A 14224-nucleotide genomic window follows, 5' to 3' on the forward strand; every position below is an offset into this window, starting at 1 on the left:
GATGAAAGAACTGAAATCCAGAAAAGTTCACATGCAACGAACAATGGGACAGAATTGGAACCAGTGAAGCCGGAACTCACTACACCGTCCCCTAAGTGACGCCAAAATGCACTTTCTAACGTCTCCGGAGGGAAGTGCGCTTGCGCAAATGCTAGGTTACACTTGAGTAACTCCGGGAATGACTGGGTGGGTGGGGCGGGGAACAGTAACGGTCTCCTATTGGATGGCAGCCTAAACTCGCAGGCCAGCTAATTGGACGCAATCAGAACCCAGCATTCTTTCTTCGTGTTCCTGTGCGGGATTGGTGTGCCCAGGGGTTTGGCTTTCCAATTGGCTAACGCCGGGGTGGGTGGGGAATGTGGGGAGATTTGAATTTGAAACCGGTAGGGAGTGATAATCCGCATTCAGTTGTCGAGGAGTGCCAGTCACCTTCAGTTTCTGGAGCTGGCCGTCAACATGTCCTTTCCTAAGGCGCCCTTGAAACGATTCAATGACCCTTCTGGTGCGTAAGGGGGAAAGAGCTGGGGGACGGGAGACGCCCTAACGCCCTTTGCCTCTTTCAGCTCCCTTCTTGGGAGGCAAGCAGGAGGCGATTTTAGGGTCGGGCTGGGGCTCATTCAGTTGATTGATTTTTCTCAAATATGCTCTAAGCATCTGTTACATGCCAAGCACTAATCAGGATGCTAAGGATACCGCAGTGAAACAGTCTCCGCCCCGTGGGGCTTACATTCAGGCGGGGAATACTGTCAATAAACAGCGGTAATGGAGAAACTACAGCAGGGCGAAGGGAATGGACCCGAGACGTTGGTAGCTACTTGATTTTCAAGTCCGAGAGGGCCTCACTGATAAGAACACTGGAGTATTACTTGTAGTCTGAACTTGTGCATTTCTTTTGTGTATTCCATTTGGGCATAAAAGAAGGAAGATTAGTAAAGGCAGTTTATGGGTGTAAAATTAGAGCAGCAGCACTTATTGAAAACATAAACAATGAAGTTATGGCTGATATTGACCACTTATACCTCAAGCACCGTACTAAGGCTTTACATCGATTATTAGTTATGTTAATTTCCCACCAACTCTAAGGGGTAATCCTATTATTATTTTATTGATAAAAAGACTGAGACTTAAATTTGCTCAGTGCTACATTACCAAAGTGACCGGACTGGAATATGAACCCAGCCCCCATCGTGTGCTCTTAACACCGCAATGCACAGCACAGTAACCAGGAAGCCTTAGCTGTGTTTGGTAGGCACTCATCATTTAAGATGCTGTATGCGGCCGGGCGCGGCGGCTCACGCCTGTAATCCCAGCACTTTGGGAGGCCGAGGCAGGTGGATCACGAGGTCAGGAGATCGAGACCACCGTGAAACCCCGTCTGTACTAAAAATACAAAAAAAATTAGCCAGGCGCGGTGGCGGGCGCCTGTAGTCCCAGCTGACTACAGGCTGAGGCAGGAGAATGGCGTGAACCCGGGAGGCGGAGCTTGCGATGAGCCGAGATCGCGCCACTGCACTCCAGCCTGGGCGACAGAGCAAGACTCTGTCTTACAGAAAAAAAAAAAATGCTGTATGCTGGGACTGTGCTACTAGATCTTGTTTATTCCTTCCAAAAGCCAAGTGAGGAAGGTACTGATATTGACCTCATTTTACAGATGAGAAAACAGAGGTTTTGTATCTTGCACAATCAGTAAGTGGTAGAGCTAAATATTAAAGCTCATGATTTATTCACTATCATACACTATTTCGTGGTTACTCATTACGTCTCTAAGTTTTGTCAGCCAACGTGTGAATGAAAATACAACTACTCACAAAGGAAGGCCAAATGAGCAAGTGAATCAGCACAAACTTATTTTCTTAGTTAAAAGACTCAAGGACCATATGATTTCCCGAGTAATCAAAGGACCTACTCTTAAGTTTTGTCAGCAGTGTGGCTTTAAGGTTTTTTTGGTTTTTTTGTTGTTTGCATTATAGTAGGTTAAACTGGCTTTATCAAAGATATAGTATTTCAGGCTCACAGTTACAGAAATAATACTAATTATTAATTTGATGCTTAATGTGTATGAGGCACTGTGGTGATTTTTCATATTCCAGTACTCCAGCCTGGGTGACAGTGCGAGACTCTGTTTCAAAAAAAAAAAAGCAAAAAAACCCCCAAAATTTATATTTCAACCTAAGATGTATTTTTATATCTCTACACATACATACGAAAGAAAAGTTTCACAAAACAATGCCTAACTTTGCAGCATATGAGTCATGCTTTTTCTATTGTTTTTACTTTTTAAAAAATGCTAATCAAGATCTACTCATGGGGCTGGGCCTGGTGGTTCACACGTGTAATCCTAGCACTTTGGGAGGCCGAGGCAGAGAGATCAGCTGAGGTCAGGAGTTCAAGACCAGCCTGGCCAACATGGTGAAACCCTGTCTCTAGTAAAAATACAAAAAACTAGCTGGGCGTGGTGGTGGGAGCCTGTAATCCCAGCTACTCGGGAGGCTGAGGCAGGAGAATCGCTTGAACCCAGGAGGCAAAGGTTTCAGTGAGCCAAGATGGCGCCACTACACTCCAGCCTAGACAACAGAGCAAGACTCCGTCTCAAAAAAAAAAAAAAAAAAAAAAAAATCATGAGTTCCTGTCTACTGTTTGACAAACATTTAGGGGACAGCAGTAGTTGCCTGGGAATGGTCCAAGCTCCTTGCTCTTCCTATTTATTTGCATGAGACTCTAGACTGAAGTAAATAGCTTTTCAGAGAATAGTATTAATCTATTTGTTCCCAATCAGCTAAAGCTTTAGGCTAGTAGTATTTTAATTACTTTAAGTCCTAAAGGCCCCATCTCAGGTCTGCTATGTGTATTTACTCAGAAATGCCTTCAAATCTGGGACTTTAGTTAAGTGAAATTATGCAGTATAAACTTCTGGAACATACAAATATAGTCTAGTACAATTTGTACTTTGTGTAACATTGGCTTTTTGAATTTCCTAAGCCTCACATTCTTTGTCTATAAATTATCACACAGGATTCTTGTGAGGATTAAATAAAATAACATCTGTGAAATGCTTAGCATAATGCCTGGCATTTAGTAAGTGCTCAAAAAATTCTAGTTGCTCTAGTGTGGTTGCTTTTCTTCCATGTGTTTGAATTGCAGTTGACATCTTTAATAGGTCTGATGTATTGATATTAGCCAGAGATGGATTATCACTATAAATTTTTATTCTAGGCTAAACATTGAGGGATAGACAATTTTAATTACTTTATTTCTAGAAACTGATAGTAGTTATCTTTGTGACTCTCTTCGAGTAGAGTTGACACCAAGTATTTTATTTGCTATATTCAATCCTTAGTAAGAAAGCCATATATTGCCTGTAATATATGATGTTCATCTCAAAACTGTCGTTTGCTCAGTTGCCTGTGTTCCTTTGACCCGGTTGATATAAAGGGCAAGATGATATTGTTCTTCATAGAGAGGCCTTCTTTGTAATATCAAATGGATGCAATTTTTTACATTTAAAAAAAGCAGTTTGTTAATGACATTTTTACATTTATATTCACTTTATTATGACATGTTTTAACTTAAGATCATAAGTAACATTAGATAATATATTAATGTTTTCTATTTCCTCTAGGTTGTGCACCATCTCCAGGTGCTTATGATGTTAAAACTTTAGAAGTATTGAAAGGACCAGTATCCTTTCAGAAATCACAAAGATTTAAACAACAAAAAGGTAATATAGATCACCAAAGAACAATGGTTATGTGATCTTATAAGTTTTAAAGTTATGAATAACAATATTTAAAGATGTTATAGCATTTTTTAAAATGTGAAGCTAGAACTATATTTAAATTTTATTTGATGGATTTATGAAAGGGTCAAGTACAGAATAATGCTGTCATCATTACATTGTTATATAACCAGGAAAATTAAGCAAGATACTTATATTGATATGTAGCTTCCCTTTTGGTAATTACCTTGACTTGTCAGGGAATATTAGGAAAATCAGAAAGGTGTTAGATGTGTAAAAAAATTGTATGAGTAATTATTTGAAAATGTACAACTAAGGAAAGAATATATTGTTTCATCAAAAGTTGTAATTAGAAATTTGGGGCCGGGCAAGGTGGCTCGTGCTCGTAATCCTGGCACTCTGTGAGGCCAAGGTGGGTGGATCACATGAGTTCAGGATTTCGAGACAAGCCTGGCCAACATGGTGAAACCCCATCTCTACTAAAAATACAGAAATTAGCCAGGTGTGGTGGGGTGCGCCTGTGGTTCCAGCTACTAGGGAGGAAAGTGGGAGAGTTGCTTGAAACTGGGAGGCAGAGGTTGCAGTGGGCTGAGATGACACCACTGCAGTCCAGGCTGGGTGACAGTGAGACTGTCTCAAAAAACAAAAACAAACAAAAAGAGAAAGACAAAAAAATTTGGAAATTGTGTTTTGTGTGTAGTTAAAACACATTGACATCAACCATGATCTGTACAATTCATTTTTCCGCAGAATCTAAACAAAATCTTAATGTTGACAAAGATACTACCTTGCCTGCTTCAGCTAGAAAAGTTAAGTCTTCGGAATCAAAGGTGAGGAGCTTTTATATGCCAGCTGGTTTATCAAGTGTATCATCAAAAACATCTGAAAGTATTGTATTTGATTAGAATGGGTTAAGTGTATGAATCAAGGTTATAAGTAAATCTGTAAATTAATGAAATGAGTTATCATTAGAACTCTAGCAAGTTTTACATTTCTGCCTAGGTCATTATGTTTAAATGTGCCCTTAGTTCACAATTATAATGGTCTTCAATTCTCAATCACTTCTATGTTTAAATTGTTCATTACCTAGTAAACATTTCAAAATTATGTGATGCTTTGATTTATTAAGTACCACCATTTGAGTTGTTTTGTTTTTGTGTATTTGTTTGTGGGGAAGGGTAAGTGTTTTTGAAGAAAAGTGGGAAAAAATGCCAATATCTAAGAGAGGTTTGCTACTGAGAAACTGTTAAGGAGTGGTGAGAGATTAAATTCTTAATAGTCTTGTGGCTTGTGCAAGAGCTACTATTACTCTTTTCATAAGTTTATAAACAGGCAAGCTGCATAGTACTTTTTAAATTTTATTTATGTATTTTTTTTTTGAGATGGAGTATCACTCTGTCACCCAGGCTAAAGTGCAGTGGCGCCATCTCAGCTTACTGCAGCCTCTGTCCCCACAGGCTCAAGCGATTCTCCTGCCTCAGCCTCCCCAGTAGCTGGGATTACAGGCACGCCCCACCACGCCCAGTTACTTTTTGTGTTTTTGCTAAAGACGAGGTTTAAACATATTAGCCAGTTGGGCAGGCTAGGCTGGTCTTGAATTCCTGACTTCAGGTGATCAGCCCACTTTGGCCTCCCAAAGTGCTGGGATTACAGGTGTTGTCCACCACACCCAGCCGCCATATAATACTTTTTAAAAGACAGCTGGGGGGCGCACAGTGGTTCACGCCTATAATCCCAGCACTTTGGGAGGCAAGGCAGGTGGATCACTTGAGGTCAGGAGTTTGAGACCAGCCTGGCCAACATGTAGTCAAACCCCATCTCTACTAAAAAATACAAAAATGTGCTGGACGTGGTGGCACGTGCCTGTAGTCCCAGCTACTTGGGAAGCTGAGGCAGGAGAATTGCTTGAACCTGGGAGGCAGAGGTTGCAGTCAGCCAAGGTGGTGCCACTGTACTCCAGCCTGGGCAACAGAGCGAGACTCAGTCTCTCCAAAAAAAAAAAAAAAGACAGCCGGGCACAGTAGCTCACGCCTGTAATCCCAGCACTTTGGGAGGCTGAAGCAGGTGGATTGCTTGAGGTCAAGAGTTCGAGACCAGCCTGACCCACATGGTGAAACCCCGTCTCTACTAAAAATACAAGAAAATTAGCCGTGTGTGGTGGCACGTACCTGTAATCCCAGCTACTCGGGAGGCTGAGGCAGGAGAACTGCTTGAACCTAGGGAGGCAGAGGTTGCAGTGAGCCGAGAGATTGCACCACTGCACTCCAGCCTGGGCAGCAGAGCGAGACCTATCTCAAAGATAAAAATAAAGTAAAAAAGTTGTACAAATTAATAGGTTTTTTGATGTGAAAAATATTCAGAGTTGGAAAAAGGCTTAGGTTGTTCATTCATTTGGCAGTTGCCTAAGCCTCATATTCTGTAATATAGAGCTATGTTGTTCTGTATGGAAGCATAGCCACATGTGTCTATTGAGCAACTGAAATGTGGCTAGTGCTATTAAAGAACTAAATTTTTAATATTTAATTTTAATTAATACATATTTAAAGACATACTCGATTTTGTTAGTGGAACGCTTTTAAATATTTTTGGAACAACTTGAGTATGTGAATTTACTTTCTCCTTTCTATGTTTTATGAAATTAAATATACATAAACATTTCTGATGAAAATTTAGCATTGAATTAAGACGTGCTATAAGTGTAGAATACAAAGAAAACTTTAAAGACTTAGTACAAAAATATAAAACATCTCATTGATAATTTTATACCAATGACATGCTGAAAAAATATATTTGATATGTTGGGTTAAATAAAATATATTAAGATTTTTACTTTTTAAACACACTACTAGAAAAATTTAAATGCATAGGTGGCTTGCATTATTTTTATTGGGCAGGACTATTATAGACACTCTTTTCTTAGAAATTGATGTAAGTGGTTTGACTTAAATTTCTTGAAGAAACTGTTCTGTAATTTTGTAATTTATAAAGCCCCTTAGAAAACTAAATTACATACAAGTTTGTATGGAGCCCCAAAATAATAGTCCTTCCCCATAAAAAATTTCATGGAGTGTGAAATTAATAAACATGACACTGATGTCACCCCCACCTCCTGCCCCACTTAGAAACATCTGAAACAGATTTCATTCAAGATGTTGATGCCTTTCTTCCATTTTTAGATGGAAAAGATATTCTTTTTCTAGCCATTGTGTCAGAAAGTCTGTTGGATATAAAAAGATATAGTGTGAAAATTATATGTCTTATTTAGAATAAAGCCAATGAGAAAATTAGAATCAGAGCTTATGCTGTTTCAGTTTTTATTTCTTTGCATCTGTATATTTTCCTCTTCGGGTATCAAAGTTTAAGTCGATTTCTCTTTGTAAGATTCTTTCTGAGATAGCATAATTAAATATTCAAGATGTGTTGCTATTTAACATTAGAGGGAGGCAGTCAGTAGCTTTATTCATAAAGTTCCACCTGTTCTTTTCACTGGGCTGATTAGGAAAATCCTGATTTATTGGGTTGAAAATTTCTAAACCTAAAATGTCTTGAGATTTTTAGAATATTTTATTTATCAGATGAGTGGCCTACACAATGTTTAACAGTGTAATGTTTAAAATAGAAACTAACTGATTGGATCCCTTCATCTTTTCTGATAACTGAAAAACAAATTTGGCTGTCATATCTGTGACATCTAAATTTGCTTATAAGTTTTTTTGGCTTTTAAACAGAAGGAATCTCAAAAGAATGATAAAGATTTGAAGATATTAGAGAAAGAGGTAAGCAGTGCTTTAAACTTAGTGAAAAGTACACATGATAGAAAGAGAGTTACACAGATTTAAGAGATAAGGATTCTGTTGCAGTGTGAGGAGTCCTGCAGTGAGGCAAACATGCCATCCAGAACAGTGCCTACAGGAAAACAGTTCTTACAGTATTTCACAGATCTATCCGGGCTATGTTAATGTGGTATGCTGGCAACGCCGAGATTAAAGATAGCCCACTTAATGAAAAACTGATAACTGAAAAATCATTATGTCAGTTGATTACAATTATATATGTGGATCAAATATTTATATCTATCCATCGTTCACAGTCTTCCTGTATGCTAACTTATGTTAACACAACATAGCTAGAGGATTTCTTAGTGAGCATGCAATCCTAGCTGGTTAGACTGTGATGAAGTTAGGCTAACTCGATGCATTGCTCTGCACAATAGGTATAGGCCTTCCTCATGGGTGAAATAACATAGAGCTGTGCTGTTTGATATGGTAGCTACTCACCACATGTGATGATCTAAATTAAATAAGAACTCAATTCCTCAGTTGCAATAATCACATTTCAAGTGCTCAGTAGCCACATGTGATTGGCAGCTACCATACTGGACAGGGCATTTCCACCATGACAGAAATTTCTATTGAACAGTACTAACCTAAAGAACCCATTTACTTTCCTAGCAATGCTAAGCAGCTCACTGTGAACTTTGCTTCTCTGCAGTCTTTTTTTTCTGTTTCCATTGCTGACCAACTCTTTTCCTCATGGATATATTCTTTCAATATATTAAAATCTTTCATTTGATTACAGTCGAATGTTGGCTTTCAACCAAGAGTATGTCAGAGTAACTGTAAATGTCTGCTCAGTTGCTCTGATTCTTTTTTATGTATTCTAATAATGTTAGCTATCATTTTACTGAGGGTACATGTAGGGGTTGATACTTACAGGAATAATCACTGAGTCTCAGTGAGATAGCTGGTAAGTGAGTGGTAGAGCCAGGATTAGAACTAATAATTTACACCAGTGACTTCATTGGGTATAGAATTTTAGGGTGGCAGGTTCCCCCCCATTATATTAAAAATATCATTTCATTGTCTTTTGGCTTCCACATTTTCTGTTGACAAATATTGGTTTGGGTTTTTTTTTGTTTTTTGTTTTTTTAATCTGGTAATAGCAGCAAGAATGATGGCTTGCCAATGCCTAGTACATTCTCCTCAGAAGCCCAGCTCTGCCTTCTTGAAATAAAAAACATTTAGCATTTTAAGCTAATTTGAATTTGTGTAATTGAAGCTAGAGAAAATAACTATTATAGGTGGAAATACCTTAAAAGTGAATAAATAGCGGCCGGGTGTGGTGGCTTACACCTGTAATCCTAGCACTTTGGGAGGCTGAGGCGGGTGGATCACGAGGTCAGGAGATCGAGACCATCCTGGCTAATATGGTGAAACCCCGTCTCTATTAAAAATACAAAAAATTAGCCGGGTGTGGTGGCCCGTGCTGGTAGTCCCAGCTATTCGGGAGGCTGAGGCAGGAGAATCGCTTGAACCCAGGAGGCGGAGCTTGCAGTGAGCCGAGATCGTGCCACTGCACTCCAGCCTGGGCAACAGAGCACAGAGCAAGACTCCATCTCAAAAAAAAAAAAAAAAAAGTGAATAGATAGCTTAATTGTACTTGGAACTTATGGCAACTAAAGTTCTTATGTTCTTAAAATGCATTAAGACTTTTAAGATGTATCATAGGTAAATATGATTATTCAAATAGCTAGTAACATTAGAATATCTACAAGCATAATGTCAAAATCAGAGATTTTTCCAGAAACTTTAGGGGTGATTATTGGTAGCATCTCCTTATGTTGGCATTCTATCAGTGAATCATTTATTATCACCTTGTTTTTGTCCAGATTCGTGTTCTTCTACAGGAACGTGGTGCCCAGGACAGGCGGATCCAGGATCTGGAAACTGAGTTGGAAAAGATGGAAGCAAGGCTAAATGCTGCACTAAGGGAAAAAACATCTCTCTCTGCAAATAATGCTACACTGGAAAAACAACTTATTGAATTGACCAGGACTAATGAACTACTAAAATCTAAGGTATCTGAGCCTCATGATAATATTTACAATTGAATAAATATAAACACGTTTTTTAGGGCCGGGCACGGTGGCTCACGCCTGTGTTCCCAGCATTTTGGGAGGCCAAGGCAGGCGGATCACCTGAGGTCGGGAGTTCGAGACCAGCCTGACCAACATGGAGAAACCCTGTCTCTACTAAAAATACAAAAATTAGCTAGGCCTATTGGCGGGCGCCTGTAATCTCAGCTACTCGGGAGGCTGAGGCAGAAGAATCACTTGAACCCAGGAGGTGGAGGTTGCAGTGAGCTGACATGGCGCCATTGCACTTCAGCCTAGGCAAGAGAGTGCGACTCCATCTCAAAAAACAAAACAAAACAAAACAACATACACCAGGCGATTCAGATTCATTTTGTTAAGCAAACATGTTTCAAGAAATCCTTTCTCAGGGACTTGCTTTAGAGTCTTGCAATGGACTTTCCAGCATATAGAGGTAAGTGACCACCCAAACAACCTTTCAAAAATGAACCAACAGGCCAGCCACAGTGGCTCACACCTGTAATTCCAGCGCTTTGGGAAGCTGAGACGGATGGATCACTTGAGGTCAGGATTTTGAGACTAGCCTAGCCTAACATGGCGAAACCCCATCTTTACTAAAAATACAAAAATTAGTCAGGTATGGTGGCGTACACCCGTAATTCCAGCTACTCAGGAGGCTGAGGCATGAGAATAGCTTGAACTCGGGAGGCTGAGGCATGAGAATAGCTTGAACTCGGGAGGTGGAAGTTGCAGTGAGCAACACGGCACTCCAGCCTGGGTGACAGAGTGAGACTCTGTCTTACAAAAATAAAATAAAAATAAACCAGCAAGTCACATTAAGGAAAAGAGGGATAAGAACAGTAGACTGGTACAGTGGCTCATGCCTGTATTTCCAGCATTTTGGAAGGCTGAGGGCTGGAGAATTGCTTGAGGCCAGGAGTTTGAGACCAGCCTGGGCAACATATCAAGACCCCATCTCTATAAACAAATTGAAAAATTAGCTAGGCATGGTGGTGGTGCACACCGGTAATCCCAGCTACTCAGGAAGATGAGGCAGGAGGATTGATTGAGCCCAGGAGTTTGAGATTATAGCGAGCTATGATCATGCCACTCCACTCTAGCCTGGACAGCGGAGCGAGACTTGATCTCTTAAAAAGAAAAGAAAAAAAAATTAAATCAATCAGTAATTATGGTGTAGGTCAAAGACTGTTCTCTCTACCAAAGTATATTAAAGTCAAAAACATAACCCCAGTGATAGGTAGAAAAATCAATATTTGTGTATTTTAAATATGTCTTAGCAGAAAATATTTCTGAATTTTTTACGTGTTTGTTGTATTTAGTTTTCTGAAAATGGTAACCAGAAGAATTTGAGAATTCTAAGCTTGGAGTTGATGAAACTTAGAAACAAAAGAGAAACAAAGATGAGGGTGAGTGCTGCCCTTGGCAGGTTTGCTGTGTCTGGATCTGGGGATCAGTACAACTTTCTCATTTCCTAAAACAGGTATCTTTGTTGTGTAGGGTATGATGGCTAAGCAAGAAGGCATGGAGATGAAGCTGCAGGTCACCCAAAGGAGTCTCGAAGAGTCTCAAGGGAAAATAGCCCAACTGGAGGGAAAACTGTAAGTGAGTGAATGTGAAGAGAAATTGTTAAGTGGAAGCAATTCTTGATTTGAGTCTCTTCACAAATTATTGTTTACTGAGACTTCAACCTTCTGTTAGTACTTATCTCATTGCCTCCCTCCAGTTGCCCTATTTCTCTTTTTAAACTAGAATGAGCCCTAATCATTCTCAAACATGTTGTGCTACAAAGTTGTATGAGTGCATTACTTTTGTACATCTTCTGTATTATTAATGATGAGGAAAGATTTCATGATCTTATGAAAGTGGTCATTAGATTGAAATTGAGAAACACTGGTATAGGAAATTGTGATTTATGCACAATCCTAGCCTTTGATTTTGAGCTTTAATATACATATAATAAAATGTGTGGATAGTAAGTATTCAGTTTGGTGACTTTAGCAATTGTATACACCTACGTAACCACTACCAAACAAGATAGAGAACATTTTCATCCCTTCAGAAAGTTCCTTCATACCCCTTCTTGTCCCCCTGCTACTGCCTATGTCATGTCCCCATCCCCATAACTACTTTCTCACTTACATCATCATAAATTAGCTTTGCCTTTTTTTATTTATTATTATTATTATTTATTTTTTTTTTTAGAGATGGGGCATTGCTTTGTTACTCAGGCTGGTCTCATACTCCTGGACTCAAGTGATACCACCCTGGCCTTCAGAGTGCTGGAGTTATAGACATGGGCCACTATACCTGGCCAGTTTTGCCTTTTTTTAGGACATGCAAAAGAGAAAGAGCATGTGTGTGTGTTGCTTCTTTTGTTTGATGTAATTTTTCAAGATTCATCCAAACCGTTCTGTATACTGTAATTTTTCCTATTTTATTTCTGAGTAGTGGTTCACCTTATGAATATACCTCCATCTCTTTACTCTTCTCCTTTTGATCATTATTTGGGCTGTTGCCAGTGTCTGCCATTAAAAAGACTGCTGTGAACATGTTTTATGTTTTTTTATGGACACGTTTTTATTTCTCAGAGAAATTTCTAGGAGTAGAATTCTTGGGTAATAGGGTAGTGTATATATAATGTTTTTTAAAACTCAGAAGTGTTTTTGCCATTTTTATACACCCCCTGGCAATGTATGATAGTTTCAGTTGTTCCAGATTCTCACCAACATTTAATGTTGTCAGTCTGTTTGATTTTAGCCTTTCTACTAGGTAGGAAGTGGTATCTCCTTTGTGATTTTAATTTGTTACCATGAATGTTGACCTTATTTTTATGTGCTTATTGACCATTTTATGTGCATATCACCTTTTGCAAGGTGTCTATTGAAGTCTTTTGTCCATTTCTTGCATTGGACAGTTTGGTGGAGGTAAACAGATAAGTAATTGAAGACCAGGTAGTCTGGGACAAAAGCTTTATGGGCACACAAAATGCTATTTAGTATGTTGGATGGGTGGGGAAACCAGGAAGACCACAAAAAGAATATTATTTCTAACACTTGGGATACTGTAATGATGGTTCTTGTCATCATAGGTTTTTTTGTCAGTATATATTCAGAAAACTTTCTCACTTAAATAAAAATTTTAGTCTTCTATTTTGATGTAAATTGTGAATTTGAGAAATTACATAAAATAATAGTTAAGAGTTAGGGCTCTGTAGTCAGCCTGCCTGATACAGGAGTATCTGGTACATAAGCATTATGTAAGATTATTAAATAACGAAACTAGAATGTATTAACATATGCAATTTTTGTTTTAGTGTTTCAATAGAGAAAGAAAAGATTGATGAAAAATCTGAAACAGAAAAACTCTTGGAATACATCGAAGAAATTAGGTAATATGAGCAGTAGCTTTAAATTGAACCTTATTTTTTTAATACTCAGTCATTTTCATCATTTTTCTGTTATTTTCCCTGTGCCTAAATAGATGTGCTTTTTAAGATAATTTGTTTTAATGCAGTTGTGCTTCAGATCAAGTGGAAAAATACAAGCTAGATATTGCCCAGTTAGAAGAAAATTTGAAAGAGAAGAATGATGAAATTTTAAGCCTTAAGCAGTCTCTTGAGGAGAATATTGTTATATTATCTAAACAAGTAGAAGATCTAAATGTGAAATGTCAGCTGCTTGAAAAAGAAAAAGGTATTACAGTGTTTTATAGTTACTTTGTTTAGATAAGTGTTACATACAACATTTAGGAAAAATACTACTATGCTAAAACAACCTTTTAAATATAATTAGCTATACTAACATTTTAAATATAATTAGCTATATAGCTATACAACAGCAAAAACCTGTACTGCATTTTAGAATATTTTACTCTTATAATGTTTGTTTTCTGTTTATTTCAATACAGCATATTACCTGTCTTGATTGAAATATATACAGTCATATAATTCTTGACTTTTCCACTAGGTGGCTGTGTAACAATCAGTAGATAACACAGAACAAGATTTGTGGGTTTTATTATTTAGCACATAGTATATATTACATGGAGTAATGATACAAAGTTCACAGTTTTGTTTTCTTCTTTGGAAATACCATGCTAAAAGCAGTGTAATGGAATATTATGGGAGTCCAGGTTTCTCAGTCTTAATGTTCTTATCTAATTCCAGTATTCTTGATGTTTTGCGTTTTCTAGAAGACCATGTCAACAGGAATAGAGAACACAACGAAAATCTAAATGCAGAGATGCAAAACTTAAAACAGAAGTTTATTCTTGAACAACAGGAACGTGAAAAGCTTCAACAAAAAGAATTACAAATTGATTCACTTCTGCAACAAGAGAAAGTAATTTACCACCATATTTTTTTAAACTGTTCATTTTGTGTCATACATTTCCCTATGTCTCTGAACACCTTTAAATTGTGTATATCCTTTGATCTACCAATTCTATCTTTAGAGTCTTATCCTGAGGACATAATCATGGATATGCTGAGGATTTAGCTACGTATTTTCACTACATGTTCACCCTAGGGTTATGAATAATGTGGGAAAATGACAACAGATACAGCAAAATAGGGAATTTTTAAAAAATTTTCTGGC

General features: G+C 38.2%; 1 protein-coding gene across 4 annotated transcripts in view, besides 2 other annotated features; it reads left to right on the forward strand.

The window, feature by feature from the left end:
- Window positions 163-252: a silencer, noted in NCBI's record as "silent region_16590". NCBI's record gives its function as "represses an Ori minimal core promoter by ATAC-STARR-seq in GM12878 lymphoblastoid cells {active_cell/tissue: GM12878}" and the evidence as "EXISTENCE:reporter gene assay evidence [ECO:0000049][PMID:35858748]".
- Window positions 396-14224, forward strand: part of HMMR (hyaluronan mediated motility receptor) — a 31310-nt gene continuing 17481 nt past the window's right edge. Inside the window, exons 1-10 of one of the 4 annotated variants that reach the window (NM_001142556.2) lie at window positions 396-502; window positions 3620-3718; window positions 4487-4566; window positions 7465-7512; window positions 9405-9593; window positions 10949-11035; window positions 11127-11227; window positions 12943-13017; window positions 13143-13321; window positions 13821-13969. In NM_001142556.2, coding sequence (NP_001136028.1) covers window positions 457-502; window positions 3620-3718; window positions 4487-4566; window positions 7465-7512; window positions 9405-9593; window positions 10949-11035; window positions 11127-11227; window positions 12943-13017; window positions 13143-13321; window positions 13821-13969 — 1053 coding nt within the window. In that variant the 5' untranslated portion in view covers window positions 396-456. The remainder of the gene's footprint in view (window positions 503-3619; window positions 3719-4486; window positions 4567-7464; window positions 7513-9404; window positions 9594-10948; window positions 11036-11126; window positions 11228-12942; window positions 13018-13142; window positions 13322-13820; window positions 13970-14224) is intronic. The other 3 variants (NM_012484.3, NM_012485.3, NM_001142557.2) reach the window with 3 other exon arrangements.
- Window positions 583-642: an enhancer, noted in NCBI's record as "active region_23578". NCBI's record gives its function as "activates an Ori minimal core promoter by ATAC-STARR-seq in GM12878 lymphoblastoid cells {active_cell/tissue: GM12878}" and the evidence as "EXISTENCE:reporter gene assay evidence [ECO:0000049][PMID:35858748]".

The sequence above is a fragment of the Homo sapiens genome, chromosome 5 (genome assembly GCF_000001405.40).
Source record: "Homo sapiens chromosome 5, GRCh38.p14 Primary Assembly".
Classification (NCBI taxonomy): Eukaryota; Metazoa; Chordata; class Mammalia; order Primates; family Hominidae; genus Homo; species Homo sapiens.